Source organism: Homo sapiens, chromosome 17 (assembly GCF_000001405.40).
Source record: "Homo sapiens chromosome 17, GRCh38.p14 Primary Assembly".
Classification (NCBI taxonomy): Eukaryota; Metazoa; Chordata; class Mammalia; order Primates; family Hominidae; genus Homo; species Homo sapiens.
The window spans coordinates 20,877,767-20,894,775 of NC_000017.11; the positions used below are offsets into that span (position 1 = coordinate 20,877,767).

Sequence of the window (17,009 nt, forward strand, 5' to 3'; positions counted from 1 at the left end):
TTAGGCAAGGAAATTAAGGTTTTCTTTAATTTCTCTTCTTCTAAAATATGCTTTGGAATCTCACTCTCTACAGCAAATTGGGTCTCAGTATATTTCTTTCTCCAAGAGAAGTTTGCTAGATACTCAAATAATTTTTGTTTTATATTGTTATGTTTGAAAGGTTGTTTTGTTGTTAAAAGACAATAGGAAGATCAACATGAAACCCTCACATTCATTGTATATTATCTTTTCATTCAGAAAGTTACAATATATTTGAGTGCTCATGAAGCTTTAAAAAGAAGTGGATTAAGTAATCAATCTCCCTAGACAGATAAAAAAGCACATGATATTTTGGTATTCCCCAACTGTTGTTATTTGACTTTCATGTTCTAGCAAATAACTTTCAACAATTTGTCAACTTACTTGCACATTTATATTTTATATTATTAATTCCATTATTTATGCATGTGTTGAATAGACTTTAATATATAGAGTAGATGTTGACACACTCGAATTTGTAACAAAGTGAAAAATTACTTTGATACATATTTTTTCTGACAAAATTATGAAGTGCTTTTCCATCTCTTCTAAAACAACATAGAAAACATGTTTCTTTCTCATTATTAAATACATGACTCGGAATACAGCAAAATTAATTGGCTATAAAGCAAACCTTTAAAAGAGAATAGTTTGATGAAAAATATAAGCATTCTTAGTTATACATAAGATCCCACAGAGCCAATTTAACTTTTTTTCCAGATTTATGTCCCAATTTAAAACTTTAATTCCTACTGTCTAAGCATTGTGGCTAAAAGTATGAGATAAGTAATTACTCCTGACATCCAACTTTTGTGATCATAGTAGGTGACATTCCTTTGAAAAAAGTAACTTGAAAATTTTCTGGTAAACGTTACGTTTGTGTGTGGGTGTAGAGTTTCATTTTCAAAACAAGCTCTCACATATCAAAGTTAAGTGTTTTAATTATCTTGTAAGACTATGTCCTTGGATCCTATGCTGTATGCCAATATTTATACATGTTGAATATGCTTTCATTTAACTTACATAGCCATAATGCTTAACTTTAATCAGAGATTCCTTACTAATTCTGATGAATGTTGGTAGAAAATATGCTGAAAATAAAATATGTTAGAATAATTTTCAATGAAAGGATAAAAGGAAAGAAGCTAGCAGAAGAGCCAGCACCACAGAAAGCAAAGTCACATTCTGGATCCAAGCAACATTTCCATGAGCAAAGAACCAGCAAATTGGATTCACGAGACAGGGAGCAGAAGCAAGAGTGTGAAGAGGAAATTGACTTTTTTTTGTTTTTTATTTGTTTTCTCATGAGGAGAGTATACTAGTAGTAGAAAAAAGTTACATGACTGATTCCAGAGAGACACAGGTAGAATATCTGGACCCTCTGTATAGGATAGCTAGTGATTATATTGTGTGTTCTGGAGGTAAGATTTGTATAAATTCAAGCCTACAATAGTATCAAGGCCTATTAAGCAAACATCCATTAGACAGCATGAAAGACTAAGAGGCTTTCAAACTACAAGTGTCAATAGTTAAATGTGAAGCAAGTACATATAGACATTTGATACTATGACAAAATAATGAGAGGTTTATCATAATATAATTTAATATTTTGTTCTTCAGTTTAGTAATTATATAAAGCTACATGCTAGTTTTTCACAACTTAACCAATCCTCTTTAATATATTTTTATGAAATTTCCTGCTATACTTGGGATACAGTTTAGAGTGTAAACTCATTTTGTAGGATTTTTTTTAAAAAATCCTGAAACAACATAGTGATAAATTTAAATAGTTTTGCCAGTTGAATCATGTATGTGATAAAAAGGCTTTATATTTTTGATTCCTAAATCAGGGTATGACAGTACAAATCATAAATCAAGTATTCTTATGTCCATTGTATAAATATAGAATAATGCCCAAACCTTTTTTGAATGTGAGGGTATGTCATGAGCATCAAAAGGGGAAAAAAAAGTATGAAAATCCCTAAGAGTTTTACTCTGGAAAGTCATATAGATTGTGCATTCTTTAGCTGACATTTTAAAACAGATACCTGAAATCATTTGCTTAACCCCTTTGAATAATATACTATTGCCTTTAAGAGAAATTCTGTAATCTACTAAAGGTCCTTTTCGTATAGCCCTGACCTCTCTCCAGTCACGTGCCGTTACTGGTGTCTGTGACCCAAACACACTAGTTGTCTCTCGATTTCGCTAAGACGTTCTGCATTCTTTCTTCTCACAGCTTTTATGTCTATTGCTTCTTCAAGGCATACTTCTCTAATATTTACTAGCTACTATTATTTTGAATGAGTTTAATGGTTTATTTTCGAGGAGACAAGGGCAAATTTTGCTGCTCTGTATTCCCATAGTATTGTGGTCTTCTCTATATTAAAAACTCATCGGGCTAAAAATTGTTTGTGGTTCCCATTTATTTACCTGCTAGATTGTAAATTCCATGAGGACTGGAAATTCAACTCTTATTTACCTGTGTATCTCAAACTTTGTAACATTCTTTCTGTGAGACAGTCATGTATTTATTAAAATGAATGAAATGTTTATGTCTATAGACTACATTACCAATACCTCTTGCACTATTAAATTTTCCTTAATTTCAAAAAAGCCAAACATTATTTTTTTCTCATTTATATAGTTTGAAATTCTTTTCTAGCAATAATGTTTCACCCATAAAAAGACCTATTAAAATTTAATAATAAGGGGAGGGATAAAATAACTATGCATTTTTTGTTGAAATCACAGTTGTCTGATACTTTAATTATGCTATCTAATTTAACCTTTCATAAATGCCCAGAATATGAGAATATCATCCAAGATTTAAATACCAATTGCCAAAATTTACAGCTATCAAATGGAAGACTCAGGTTTGTGCTATGCCACATTTTCTGTTCTTTCCTTTTTGTGATGGTATGCCAAACTGTGGAGAAAGAAAGCATTTCTATTTGTGATTGCCTCTGCTAGTTATTTCTGCAAAACAAACTACTCAAATTCAGTGGCATGATGCAATAACCATTTTGTCATCCTCAAATATTCTGGGGTCGGGGTTGAAAATGCAAAGTGGGGTGACATTTCTGTGGTATACAGTATTTGGGGCCTCTGAGAAGTCCTAGATGTCTAGGAATGAATTAAACGTTGGACAATGAAATCTTCTAAAAGCTTCTTTACATGTTTGGCTCCTGCATTGGTATGACTTAAAGGCTGGGCTCAAAATAATCTCTTAACCAGAGTGTCTGAATATTGCTTCTTCATGTAACTTGAGCTTCCTCACAGCATGGAATCATACAGGTAGCTTGCCTGAGTGTTTCAGTTAATGGGTCATTGTATTGCCTTTAATAATCTTGCCTCAGAAGTCACATAGAATTACTTTAACGCTGAGTTGGTTTAAGCAATCACAGCCTGTCTGACTTCAGGGGGAAGAAACATGATGTCTACCCTTTGATGTGAGGACATTCAAAGTATTCGTAGCTATATTTTTAAAATGCCACAGTTATCTTCTTTTCAAAGAGATGCCATATCCTTATTATCAGCAATAGAATCAGGATTTGAAAATAGTTCTTTTGCTACATACGCATTTTTATAATCATTCTTGCTATTATAATTTTTTTCAGAAAGGGTGAAGGGGTAAGGATTATGTTTCATTCTTTCTCAAATTTTGTATTCTATAAGTATTTTTATTTTTTGTCCATAATAGATTATGGTACAAAGGTAACTCAAAACTAGAGTGTATAAATATAAAAAATAAGTTTTCATATCCAAGCTGTGGATAAGATATTAAAATATAAAAAAGATTTTGAATTTGTTTTAAAAATTAAGTCTTCTAATTTTGTGAAAAGAACTAAGATAATTGTCCACTAATCACTCATTAAATCTCCTTATTAACTTAATTTCCTTATTAACATTAACAAAGCCTGCATTGCCAAGACAATCCTAAGCCAAAAGAACAAAGCTGGAGGCATCATGCTACCTGACTTCAAACTATACTACAAGGCTACAGTAAGCAAAACAGCAGGGTGCTGGTACCAAAACAGAGATACAGACCAGTGGAACAGAACAGAGCCCTCAGAAATAATACCACATATCTACAACCCATCTGATCTTTGACAAACCTGACAAAAACAAGAAATGGGGAAAGGATTCCCTATTTAATAAATGGTGCTGGGAAAACTGGTTAGTCACATGTAGAAAGCTGAAACTGGATCCCTTCCTTACACCTTAGACAAAAATTAATTCAAGATGGATTAAAGACTTACATGTTAGACCTAAAGCCATAAAAACCCTAGAAGAAAACCTAGGCAATACCATTCAAGGCATAGGCATGGGCAAGGACTTCATGTCTAAAACACAAAAAGCAATGGCTACAAAAGCCAAAATTGACAAATGGGATCTAATTAAACTAAAAAGCTTCTGCACAGCAAAAGAAACTACCATCAGAGTGAACAGGCAACCTACAGAATGGGAGAAAATTTTTGCAATCTACTCATCTGACAAAGGGCTAATATCCAGAACCTACAAAGAACTCAAACAAATTTACAAGAAAAAAAAAAAACCATCAAAAAGTGGGCAAAGGATATGAACAGACACTTCTCAAAAGAAGACATTTATGCAGCCAACAGACACATGAAAAAATGCTCATCATCACTGGCCATCAGAGAAATGCAAATCAAAACCACAGTGAGATACCATCTCACACCAGTTAGAATGGTGATCATTAAAAAGTCAGGAAACAGCAGGTGCTGGAGAGGATGTTGAGAAATAGGAACACTTTAATGCTGTTGGTGGGACTGTAAACTGGGTCAACCATGGTGGAAGAAAGTGTGGCGATTCCTCAAGGATCTAGAACTAGAAATACCATTTGACCCAGCAATCCCATTAGTGGGTATACACCCAAAGGATTATAAATCATGCTACTATAAAGACACATGCACACGTATGTTTATTGTGGCACTATTCACAATAGCAAAGACTTGGAACCAACCCAAATGTCCAACAATGATAGAATGGATTAAGAAAATGTGGCACATATACACCATGGAATACTATGCAGCCATAAAAAGGATAAGTTCATGTCCTTTGTAGGGACATGGATGAAGCTGGAAACCATCATTCTCAGCAAACTATGGCAGGGACAAAAAATCAAACACTGCATGTTCTCACTCATAGGTGGGAATTGAACAATGAGAACACTTGAACACAGGAAAGGGAAACATCACACTGGGGCCTGTCATGGGGTGGGGGGAGGGGGGAGGGATAACATTAGGAGATATACCTAATGTAAATGAGGAGTTAATGGGTGCAGCACACCAACATGGCACATGTATACATATGTAACAAACCTGCACATTGTGCACATGTATCCTAGAACTTAAAGTATAATAAAAAAAATAGTAAATATCAATAGATACAACTGACTTAAACAAAAGCTCTTTGGAATCTGCAATCATTTTTATTTTATTTATTTATTTATCATTATGAAGACAGTTTAACTGAGATCCAGTCATTTGATAGAAAACTAGAGCTTCCTGTGTCAATAAGGACTGATCTCAAAAATGTGTGTCCAGACAAAAGAAAGTTGCAAAATATGTAGAGTGTACAACAATTTATATACACTTTTAGGACATGAAAACAAATTATACTTATTATTTATGACCATACACATATGTAATAAAATGTTTTATAAGGGAATGGACATGATAAATGCTTAATTCAGGGTATTGGTTACCTCTAGGCAATAATATTTAATCATATAAAAGGAGCCCCAGGCCAAAAAGTTTCAGAATCAGTGTTTTAAAAGACTGTGTCCACCATACAGTTATTAAGGAGTGATTAATTGCTTTCCTCATTTTTGATAATCAAAGATACCCCCACAATACACACACACATGATCTGCTAACCAGAATATCTGACTGGCTTTAAATCATCAGTATAGCCACACTATGATGAAACAATTAAACTTAAAGCACAACTCACATGTTGGCAAGTAAAGTTTGTCTTATATTATTTCCACCTTCCTAATACCCACTCTTCCTTTTTCTGAAGTATTATCTCATTTTACCACCCTCCATCATATCCAACTGCTTCTTTTCCCTTCATTTACTCCCTGTACTCTCTGCCTTCCACATTGTTTATTCTCCCTTTTACTCTTATCCTTTTCCTTCTATCCTGACACTGCATATCTAGGGTTCAGTACTATCCACAGTTCCAGGCATTCACTGGGGGTCTTGGAATATATCCCCATGGATAAGGGGGGAAAACTGTACATTTTGTTGTGTAGGTCTATGGGTGCTGTGCTGTGTTATATGGCAAAACATAGGGAAGAGACCAGGGACAAGGATCTTTGCAAAGACTTTTGAGCTGCCAGTGGAGAAGAGCTCAAGGGAGATCAATGTACTCACTCTCACTAATCATCTTCTAGGGCAGATGCTGGCAATGTTTACTGAGTTCTAGCTATTTTCCCTAGCACAAACAAGGCTCAAATTCACCTCCCATTTTACCTCCTATGGACAGAACCACTGGAAAGATCACTCCCATAAAGAGCTTATTCATTCTGAGCCACACCATTCATTCAGTGAGAAGCTTAAGAAGAAACACTGCCACGGTGTATGAAAAATAAATATGAAAAACTACCTGATATGAAAAATATATATGAACAGAACTATCAATCAAGCTGCCAGAATGTGCCAACAGTTGTTAACTGTCTCCGGTGAAAACAAAATTATTTTTCACTTCTTGTAAAGCAAAACACTGGTATTTCTTATGACAGAGCATCTAGTTACAGATGAGCCATGTTATAATAATATAGACTGTTTTCAAGCTCATCCCTATAAAGAAGAGAACCAGTGAGGAACATATTTATTCACCTGTAATATTCACTGCCTGATCTTCTTTTTAAGTGCAAGGTAAGTACGCAAGACTTTGTGATTCCAGTTTTATAAAGACCAGCTCTTGAGATTATCCTGTCCCATCGCTAAAGTCTATCTGGACCCATCTCCTAGAGCACGATGGTCCAGTTAGTGCTGTGGAATACTGCATGGTGCCATTTTTCCCCACCCTCCCCGTTACATGGCAAATGTCTACAGAAATCACACTTTCTCAGCACGTCAAGTCATATGTCATCAGATCCTATTCTGATGAACAAAACACGAGAAAAACAAAGGCAAGGACAAAGAACATCTAAAATGACAGAATCCAATTACTATGGAAATTTGTTGTTTAAATATTCAAAAAGATATCCACTGTTTTATTCCAACTATATGACTAGTCTGGAAAAAGCAAAACTATGGAGACGCCAAAAAGAACAATGGTTGCCAGAAGCCAGTGGAGAAGAAGAAACAAAATGGCAGAGGACAGAGGATATTTAGGGCAGTGAAACTATTTTGTCTATGATACTACAAGGGTATATACATGCCATTACACATTTGTCCAATATCATGGAGTATACTACACCAAGAGTGAACCCTAATGTAAACTGTGGACCTTGGGAGTGATGTGTCTGTCAAGGTAGATTCCTCAACTGTAACTGATGAACTCTGATGGGGGGTACTGATAATGAGGGAGGCTATTCATATGTCAGGGGTCATGGGGAATATGGAAAGTCTCTGTACCTTCTCAGTTTTGCTGTGAATCTAAGACTGCTCGGAAAATAATGTTACTAATTTTAAAAAATTACTCACTGAACTTGCTATTACCCTAAACTATAAAAAGACAGAGTCACCTTGAAAACTGCAAATCACTAAAGATCAAGGTAACAGAATATGAGTACTATCTCCCAAATTGAAGCATATAAAAACACATAAAGCAATTAATTTTAATTGCATATTTAGGCAAAAAAAATTGATAAAAATAATTGAATATCTAATCTTATTTCATAATTATAAACAGGGACTTAATACAATATGAATCAAAAATGGTCCATCCATGTAAATAAAATGAAAGACAATTTTTATTCTAATTTTAAATCAGAAATTATTATGCCTATTTTATCCCACAATTTTACTGAAAAGTTAATCAGGTAAGAAGGACAGATTATAATTACTTAATATTGCCATAGTAACTTATGCATAAATACCTGTTAAGTATTCACCAAATGTCAAAACTGTAAGCAGCCTTGCTGCTTAACATGAATGATGCAACTGAAACAAATACCATGTTATGGTCTATCATAATATTTGCTATTATATTACATAAAATTTTAAGATAACATCAAAAATTTAGTCAGGGCCATAGCTGCTGGGCAGCAAAGATTTCATATAGCAGGCACAAGACATCCATCCTTAGAAAGGCTTGCTTGCAAGGCTAGTCCTTGGCTGGTGTTTGGGACCTTGAATTTGAGAGGGTTCCCACCATTCCCTAACTTAGAAGAAGGGAATGGCTCACTGTGCCTAAATTGTTTGTGCAAATGTGGTTTACTATGAACAGTTAATCTCTTCCTGGGAGTCTAGAATTTTGTTACATGTGAGGGAGAGAAGAGGTGGCCTATGTGACTAGCCTCCGTTGAAAACATGGATGCTAAGTCTCTAATGAAACTCTGGTAAGGTAGACAACATTGCACATGTGTCGTCAAAATTTGAGGCTGGGGGAATTAAGCGCATCCTGCTAACTACACAGGAGATGACTCCTGTAGCTTGTGCCTGGCTTCCTCCAGACTTTGACACATGCACCTTTTCCCTTCTTGAATTTTACTTTGTGTCTTTTCACTGTATTAAATATAATAAATGAAAGCCCCGAGTATGACTGACTGCTGAGTCCTGTGAGTCCTTCTCAGTGAATTACCAAACCTAGGATGGTCTTGGGAACCCCTGATACAATTGCATTATACAATTTTTTTTATTGTTTAAGTTGATGTGTTATATGTGACTACAATCAGAAGGTTATTTCACAGAATACCTTTCCCTAATCTGCTTATTATTTAGTTTTTGATGTTTGCCTTGGAGATTCCTGTACTTCTATATCCACTGGACTAACAGCATTAAAAATGCATGAAACAATGATGTCAGAAAGTAATTTTAAAAATCAACAATCCTATTTTAACCCAATTAAAAAATAGAAAATCTTGATTGACAATACGTTCTACAGTATAAAAGTTTCTGGAACAAAAAATTAAAAGATCACAGTTTTCTCCCACTCGGTAGAGTTTAATTCATTTTTATTATAATTGTGCAGCAGGCCAACAATTCAGTAGCACACATCTGTTGTTCCACCTACTCAGGAGGCTGAGGCAGAACGATTGCTTGAGGCTAGGAACTAAAGCTGCAGTGTGCTATAATCACACCTGTTCAAAAAAAAGTCCAAAAAAAAAAAAAACTCCTGCAAATAGTGGAAATGATCAGTAAGGATCAATAGGAGTTTTAACTTATCTGGCAGGGAGAAGAGTCTATCTTATATATAGATGGTTAAAATTGTGGTAATCCAATTGACCATATATTCTAGTTAAATCACAGATTACCAATTTCTGAAGAAATATAATACCAGAAAAGCACTTCACATTTAAACTATGTCAGATAAAACAATTTGTATTTGATAACCCAGAAGACACTTAAAATCTTGGCAGACCATCATCGTTGTATCATTGTGGTGCAGATATAAAGAAGTGCATTTGAAATGTGTTCTAATAGTATTTTCTTTAGGGATGAAATGCAAAAGGAAGCAGTAAGAGCAGAAATACGACAAGGGGATAAAATGAAAAGGGAACTGCACTAATAAAAAGAGTCAGGCACTGATTTTTCTACTGATGTGACCAGTATTCCCCAAGTACTGAGAACTACTATATTCAGCATTTCACTTTATATTCTTCTCCAGGACATTGTATTAGTTTCCTGCAATAAAATATTTTTACAATGTCAGTTTGTCGAAACTGCTGGACTGTAAACTATTTCTAATCGAAACCTGAAATTGTGTCACAACATGGCTGTATTACGATTCCATGTCAGAGGAAGGATATATACGTGCATCTGGTAGTGGCTTCCAGTTGTTGCTGTCAGATGTTTGTTTGGGAATGCATTCAGAAGAGCTTATCAAGGACTTGAGTACAAAACAAGCATTTCCACAAAAAAGCAGGTAAGAAAGACACTTCTCCTCACAAATGACCTTAGGTTTAGACAATTCTAGGAAAATGGTGGTACATTAACTCAACGTCTTGACCATTTTCCCTGATCCTGTATAGGGAGCTGCTGCAGTTACAAAAGTTAGACAGGATCTTGGTAGGTGTATTCTTCCACATTTGAACACCGGAAGTACTGATCACATAAACAGCGAACCCCACAACTCTATGATTGTTCTTTAGAAGAGAGTGCCACCGAGAGCTTTTAAAAAGTTAACTCACTTTTCAGTAATCTTACTGGTTAGAATTGATACTCCCTCCCTGAAATTCTCACCTTCATAAATTTTTGCAGCATCACTTTATGATTCCTCTCCTTTTACTTAAGCCACTGCTCAGGCTTCTTTCCTAACTCCTCTGGGAAATGCTGATATTCCCAGGGTTCTGTCACTGGCCCTCTGCTCATTCTATACCTTTCCCATCATGGATAAGCTCACTCAGATCTACAACTTTGCCTCCGTTATTCCAAGTCTGCAACTCCAACCTCCGAGTTCCATCTCCAACCATAAAAATTTTATGCAATTACCTACTGAAAATATCCCACATGGACATTTCAGTAAACTCAGCAATGCAGAGAAAACTGTTAGTCGTGGCTGCTGACCCACGCTCTCCTCTATACACCTGAAAACTGCCTACTCCCTCGTGTCCAGGTTAAATGCTAGGGCACAAGCCAGAAACCTGAGAATCATCTGAGATTTCTCCCTATCCCCTATCTTTTTACATTCAACAGTCACTAAATCATATTAACTGTACCTCTTTTCTGCATCTGCTTTATATTTCCACTGTGACACATTTATTTTATGTTTATATTTCCTAGTTAAACATGGGCTCTTAAGTAGTGGCTTTTATAGGGAAAAAACAACTATTAATGTTATTTCTTAAAAAAAAAAAAGCTTAAGTAAAATAAATGAAAAAGGCATCATGCCAAGAAAAAGACCAACATTTTTAAAGGAATAACTGAGCTCCTTAACCTTATTGATTTCACCATGGATGGGTGAAAACCTCACAACAGACTGACACTAGTCTGAGGACAGCACAAGGAAACTATAGCTCTGATAACTGCAAATGTTTCCTTTGTTTCCCTGTCTCTTTATGTGGTTATCTTCCAGCTACCCTCCATATCAGGGGTCAGCAAACTATAGACTGTGGGGCAAATCCAATCAGCCTTATAGTTTTGTAAGTAAAGTTTTATTGGAGCTCAGTCATGCGTATTTGCTTACCTCTTATCTATGACTGTTTTCATACTTCAATGGCAGGGTTGAGTAGGAATGACATACCACATGAAAAAGCCCTGTACAGAAAATGCTTGCCAATCCCTGCTTTATACCATAACCAGAATGCCCTAATACTCAAATCTAATCATGTGACTCCCCACTCCAATGAATCCCTACAGTAAACATTGCTGTCTCCCTACCCAATAGTGAGTCCCTGCTCTGTCTTGCTGGAGGAACACATGTCTATTTGGATATTTGCCATGCCAATATCCCTACCAACCCAAAAGAAGAAATGATTATCCTAAGCTCATCATAGTAATTACATTTGCTTCCCCAGTGCCTGGTTTAGGAATGAGCATGTGGTAGGACCCAGCCAATAAAATGTTACAGGAAGTCAACTGCACGTTTCCGAGTCTTCTCCCTAACTAAAAGAAACATGTAAAGAAAAGCCACCCTTTCAGCCTTCAGATATTGTCGGTGAGACCATGATGTTTGGAGCCGTTGCTAATTAGCCATGAAAACTGACATGAACAAAACACTGATATCACTGAACGGTCAAAATAACTCTGGTCCCTACTGTTTTAGCCACTGTTAATTAGGTCATCTAGCATTTTCAGCCCAAAGCATTCCACCTGGTAAATTTCCCATGGCCTACAGGAAAAGATCTAGTTTCTTTTTTTTTTTTTTTTTTTTTGGAGACATAGTCTTGCTCTGTCACCCAGGCTGGAGTGCAGTGGTGCAATCTCGGCTCACTGCAGCCTCCGTCTCCCAGGTTCAAGCGATTCTCCTGCCTCAACCTCTCGAGTAGCTGGGACTACAGGCATATGCCACCACGCACGGCTAATTATTTTTTATTTTTTTAGTTTTTTTATTTTTAGTAGAGATGGGTCTCACCATGTTGGCCAGGATGGTCTTGATCTCCTGACCTCATGATCCACCCGCCTTGGCCTCCCAAAGTGCTGGGATTACAGGCATGACCCACCGCACCTAGCCTGAGATCTACTCATTTCTATAGTATTAAAAAGTCTGGGCAGGGACTGGTGGCTCACACCTGTAATCCCAGCACTTGGGAGGCTGAGGCGTGTGGATCACTTCAGGTCAGGAGTTTGAGACCAACCTGTCAAACATGCTGAAACCCTGTGTCTACTAAAAATACAAAAATTAGCTGGGAATGGTGGCTCATGCCTATAATCCCAGCTACTTGGGAGGCTGAGGCATGAGAATCACTTGAACCCAGGAGGTGGAGGTTGCAGTGAGCCCAGAGAATGCCACTGCACTCCAGCTTGGGTGACAGAGTGAGACTTTGTCTCAAAAAACAAAGTCTGTCATAAGCTTGCCTTAGGTATTCACTTCATTCCCAACATTCGCATCTCATATGTTTTGCACTAGCAAAACTGAACTGCTCATAAACCCTGCAAATTTCACTCAAGCATCTTACTTTCACACTTGTTGCTCCTTCTGCCAAACACACAATCTTCTGCCCACATCATCCTTCTGCCTCTTTACCTGGAAAAGTTCTACTCACTGCATGGTTACCTTAAATCTTACCCACTTTTTTACAGCTTTCATTCCTCACCACATAAAGTGTCTGGCACATATTTAACATAGTAAATGATCACTATACGGTTCCAGAGGGCATCTAACACAGTAGTAGGCACTGAATAAATAATTCATCAAATAATTAAAGTGACAATGATAATAACAAGCTCCTGGGTTTTGTTGGTTTTTTTTTTCTTTTTTGAGACAGGGTCTCACTCTGTTACCCAGACACGAGTGCAGTGGCATGATCATAGCTCGCTGTAGCCTCAAACACCCAGGCTCAAGCAATCTTCCCACCTCAGCCTCCCAAGTAGCTGGAAGTACAGGCACCTGGCACCATGCCCAGCTAATGTTTTATTGTTTTTTAAAAAATTTAGTAGAGATGAGGTCTTGTCATGTTGCCCGGGCTGGTCTCGAACTTCTGGGCTCAAGTGATCCTCCCATCTCAGCCTCCCAAAGTGGTGAGATTACAGGCATACACCACTGTGCTGGCCCCAACAGTATTTTTAAATGTCTGTATTCTGTAACATTAGAAAAAAAATGCTTAGTACTAAAAGACATTTGATAATTATTTGTGAAGTGGACAAATGAATAAATGATTTCCTTGAAAATTCTGTTGAAAAAAACACAGAAATTAAATAAAGCTCTATTCTATTATGAGCACCTCAAAGACCAAAACTATGTCTATTTCATGTTTGTCTCCCATAACGTGCAAAACCTAACTTACAGAAGTTCTTTGATTAATATGTACTAAATTAAAGGTGTCCCCTTACAGTTCAGATTGTCCAATGCATTAGGCATCACATCTTGGAAGCACAGAAGCATTTTTTGTTATTGTGAAACATTTTTATACTTTCATTATAATTTGTTGAGCCTAGAGTTGGGCTATTTGAATATTTATTATGATAATCTTTTGGCTAATGGTAACAGCATATCTTGTTCTAACAAAATTACTGTTAACAGCAATTAACCAGCAGGTAGAAAAACACATCTTGTTCTAATGAAGTAAATATACCTCATTCGATTTCAAATTGGGGGAAAGTCAATAATAGTGACACCTTGTTGGTTTATAAGTATGTAACATGACCTGTTCTTCTCAACAAGGAATTGCTTTTCTGACTTCTGCACTCAGAAGGTATCTTTAAAAAATAATTTCCCATTAGTATTAGTGCACATTGGGTATGTTTGGCAGGGTTTTGTTTGTGTTTTTGTTTTTGTTTTTTTCTGAGACAGGGTCTCACTCTGTCATCCAGGTTGTGATCATGATCACAGCTCACTACAGCCTTGACTCCCAGGCTCAAGCGAGCCTCCCATCTCAGTCTCCCAAGTAGCTGGGGTTACAGGTGTGCACCAAAACACCCAGCTAATTTTGTATTTGTTTTTGTAGAGATGTGGTCTCACTATGTCACCCAGGCTGGTCTGGAACTTCTGGACAGAAGCGATCCTCCCACCTAGGCCTCCCAACTTGCTGGGACTACAGGTGTGGGCAGCACACCTGGCCATTTCACAGTTCTTATTGCCATTTGTTTATGGTGCCAGAAAGGTATTGCTGAGTTTCCAGTTTTGAAACTAATTTCTTTTTTTCAGTGACACAAATCACTATGTAATATAGTTAGCCTTTGAACAACACGGATTTGAACTGCAGGGGTCTACTTATGAGCAGATTTTCTCCCACCTCTACCACCTGAGACAGCGAAGACCAATCTTCCTCTTCCTCCTTCTCCTTAGCCTGCTCAACTTGAAGACTATGATGAAGAGTTATATAATGATCTACTTGCATTTAATGAACAGTAAGTGTATTTTTTCTGCCTTATGATTTTCTTAACAGTTTATTTTCCTAGCTTCCTTTATTGTAAGAATACAGCATATTAATACATATACCATACCAAACATATCTTAATTGACTGTTTATGTTATCAATAAGGCTGCTGGTCAACAGTTAGCTATTAGTAGTTACGTTCTTGGGGGAGTCAAAAGTTATACACAGATGTTTGACTGCAGAGGGAATCAAGCATCCCTAAATTCCACATTGTTAAGGGTCAATTGTGATTGATATTCATTTACTAAACATAAGTCATTTATTTTAAAAATTAAATAGAAGTTCCAATTTCATAACAAGTCTAATTCATTATAATGTGACTATAAAGAAAACATACAACTTACTAACTCAAAAATATCTTTTTCTTGGCCGGGGGCAGTGGCTCACGCCTGTAATCCCAGCACTTTGGGAGGCCGAGGCGGACGGATCACGAGATCGAGACCATCCTGACTAACACGGTGAAACCCCATCTCTACTAAAAATACAAAAAATTAGCCGGGTGGGGTGGCGGGCGCCTGTAGTCCCAGCTCCTCTGCAGGCTGAGACGAGAATGGCATGAACCCCAGGGGGTGGAGCCTGCAGTGAGCCGAGATCGCGCCACTGCACTCCAGCCTGGGCGACAGCGAGACTCCGTCTCAAAAAAAAAAAAAAAAAAAAAAAAAAATCTTTTTCTTATTTATACAAAAATATCACATAGAATTTTAGGGACCATAATTAATTTTTTTTCAGACCAGATTGTTTGAAAAAATAAATGACCTACAATTAACTTTTTAAATAATTGTGACATCTAACCTACCAAGAAATCTAACCTATCAAGAAAGAAATAAAGATTTTTTAAAACTGCTCTTTCATGATCAAAACTTCCTTACTCTTACTTCTTTTTTACCCATGGTAGGACCACCAAAAATAATTCACTATCAGAAGTCTTACCTGGATTGTTATTTTGAGGAAGACTTTCAGGTGTCTGTTTTTCCTTATATTCAGGAACTAGTTGCTGAATGCTATGGATAAAAATGTAATAAATGAAATTATTTTAAAACAAATGAAAAATACCAAATATATTAAATTTTTAGAGCATTTCAAACAATATCAGAGTTAATATCAGAACTTTAATTATCCCATATACTTCAATTTGTGAGTTCTACCAACTTCTCTTTAAGCTTCTGAAGAAGAAAAAAAGATGAAGTACTCATGAATTGAAGGGAGTATAGCTCAGTAAATTAACTCACATTAGCTTGGCATAATGGAAAGCATCCTAGCTCTATTACCAGCAGCTATTTATTCTCTGACAAGTTGCTTCTCTTAGGCTCAATGTATTCTTCTAAAAAGCAAGGATTTTACTGCCTTATTTCACTAGGTTGTTAAAGATTTAACAAGAAAACGTTTTGTAAATGCTCAGAGGAACAGTGAAGCAATGAAATAATTTGTTCTTGAGGTTTATTGCGGAAATGGTTTTGGAATCACAAATAAAACCCAATGTCTATTTTTTCCAGAGGTTCTAATATTCAAATGTTGCAGTTTTCCAAAACTGTTATTAAGTTCTAGTTTTATTAGTTCTATTCTTTGTGGCTTATAATTTGGGGCATCACAGCTAGTTCATAGTTTGTAACTAAATTTACTTATAAATATATTATTTCACCAAACTAGATAACAACACTGTCCACTATTACTGAGCTCATCAATCACGCCAAGGGGAGAAAGCTAATAGATGTCAAGACCTAGCTTGGACTACTGTTCCATACAGACTCAAACTCTGAATCGGCAGATCTTTGTTAGAAGGATGCTCAATCCCCGTGTTCATCTCCAACTGACATGGAAAACAAAATTCTACTTTTTTTTTTCAGTTCCACGAAAGACATGCAAGTTGACATTCTCTCATTTCTGAGATACATACTGACAATATATTTGCACACAACATCCCACGTGTTACTCAGCTCCATTGATCACCTTACTGCATATTTTTGTAGTGAAAAATCACAATTTTAATATTAGGTGATACCCAGTTTGCTTTGACTCACACTGTCTTTGGAACTAGTCAGCAAATAGTCAAATGAACTTCTAGTGACTGCGCAAAATATGGACCACTTCAAAAATCTGTGCATCCTTATGCAGGCAGGGGCCATGCTAATTTCTCTCCATTTTGTTCCAATTTTAGTATATGTTTGCTGCTGAAGCAAGTTTTGTTTGTTTTAGACTGAGTCTTGCTCTGTCACCCAGGCTGGAGTGCAGTGGCGTGATCTCGGCTCACTGCAAGCTCCGCCTCCTGGGTTCATGCCATTCTCCTGCCTTAGCCTCCTGAGTAGCTGGGACTACA

The 17,009-nt window shown here is 36.6% G+C and overlaps 1 long non-coding RNA gene and 2 pseudogenes across 3 annotated transcripts in view, besides 2 other annotated features; 1 reads left to right on the forward strand and 2 right to left on the reverse strand.

The window, feature by feature from the left end:
* CCDC144NL (CCDC144A N-terminal like (pseudogene)) overlaps window positions 1–17,009 on the reverse strand; it is a 32,769-nt pseudogene that overhangs the window by 14,372 nt on the left and 1,388 nt on the right. The window contains exon 2 of the transcript NR_164128.1: window positions 15,626–15,696. The product of NR_164128.1 is annotated as a CCDC144A N-terminal like (pseudogene) (transcript). The remainder of the gene's footprint in view (window positions 1–15,625; window positions 15,697–17,009) is intronic.
* Window positions 1–17,009, forward strand: part of CCDC144NL-AS1 (CCDC144NL antisense RNA 1) — a 61,515-nt gene that overhangs the window by 9,240 nt on the left and 35,266 nt on the right. Inside the window, exons 2-3 of one of the 2 annotated variants that reach the window (NR_160710.1) lie at window positions 9,826–10,083; window positions 14,464–14,666. This is a non-coding gene — a long non-coding RNA (CCDC144NL antisense RNA 1). The remainder of the gene's footprint in view (window positions 1–9,825; window positions 10,084–14,463; window positions 14,667–17,009) is intronic. The other variant, NR_104185.2, reaches the window with a different exon arrangement.
* Window positions 14,721–15,221: an enhancer, noted in NCBI's record as "H3K4me1 hESC enhancer chr17:20795800-20796300 (GRCh37/hg19 assembly coordinates)". NCBI's record gives its function as "activates a minimal SCP1, AML or CMV promoter by ChIP-STARR-seq in naive H9 embryonic stem cells {active_cell/tissue: H9 hESC(naive)}" and the evidence as "EXISTENCE:reporter gene assay evidence [ECO:0000049][PMID:30033119]".
* Window positions 15,222–15,722: an enhancer, noted in NCBI's record as "H3K4me1 hESC enhancer chr17:20796301-20796801 (GRCh37/hg19 assembly coordinates)". NCBI's record gives its function as "activates a minimal SCP1, AML or CMV promoter by ChIP-STARR-seq in naive H9 embryonic stem cells {active_cell/tissue: H9 hESC(naive)}" and the evidence as "EXISTENCE:reporter gene assay evidence [ECO:0000049][PMID:30033119]".
* RNU6-1178P (RNA, U6 small nuclear 1178, pseudogene) lies at window positions 16,766–16,872 on the reverse strand (annotated as a pseudogene).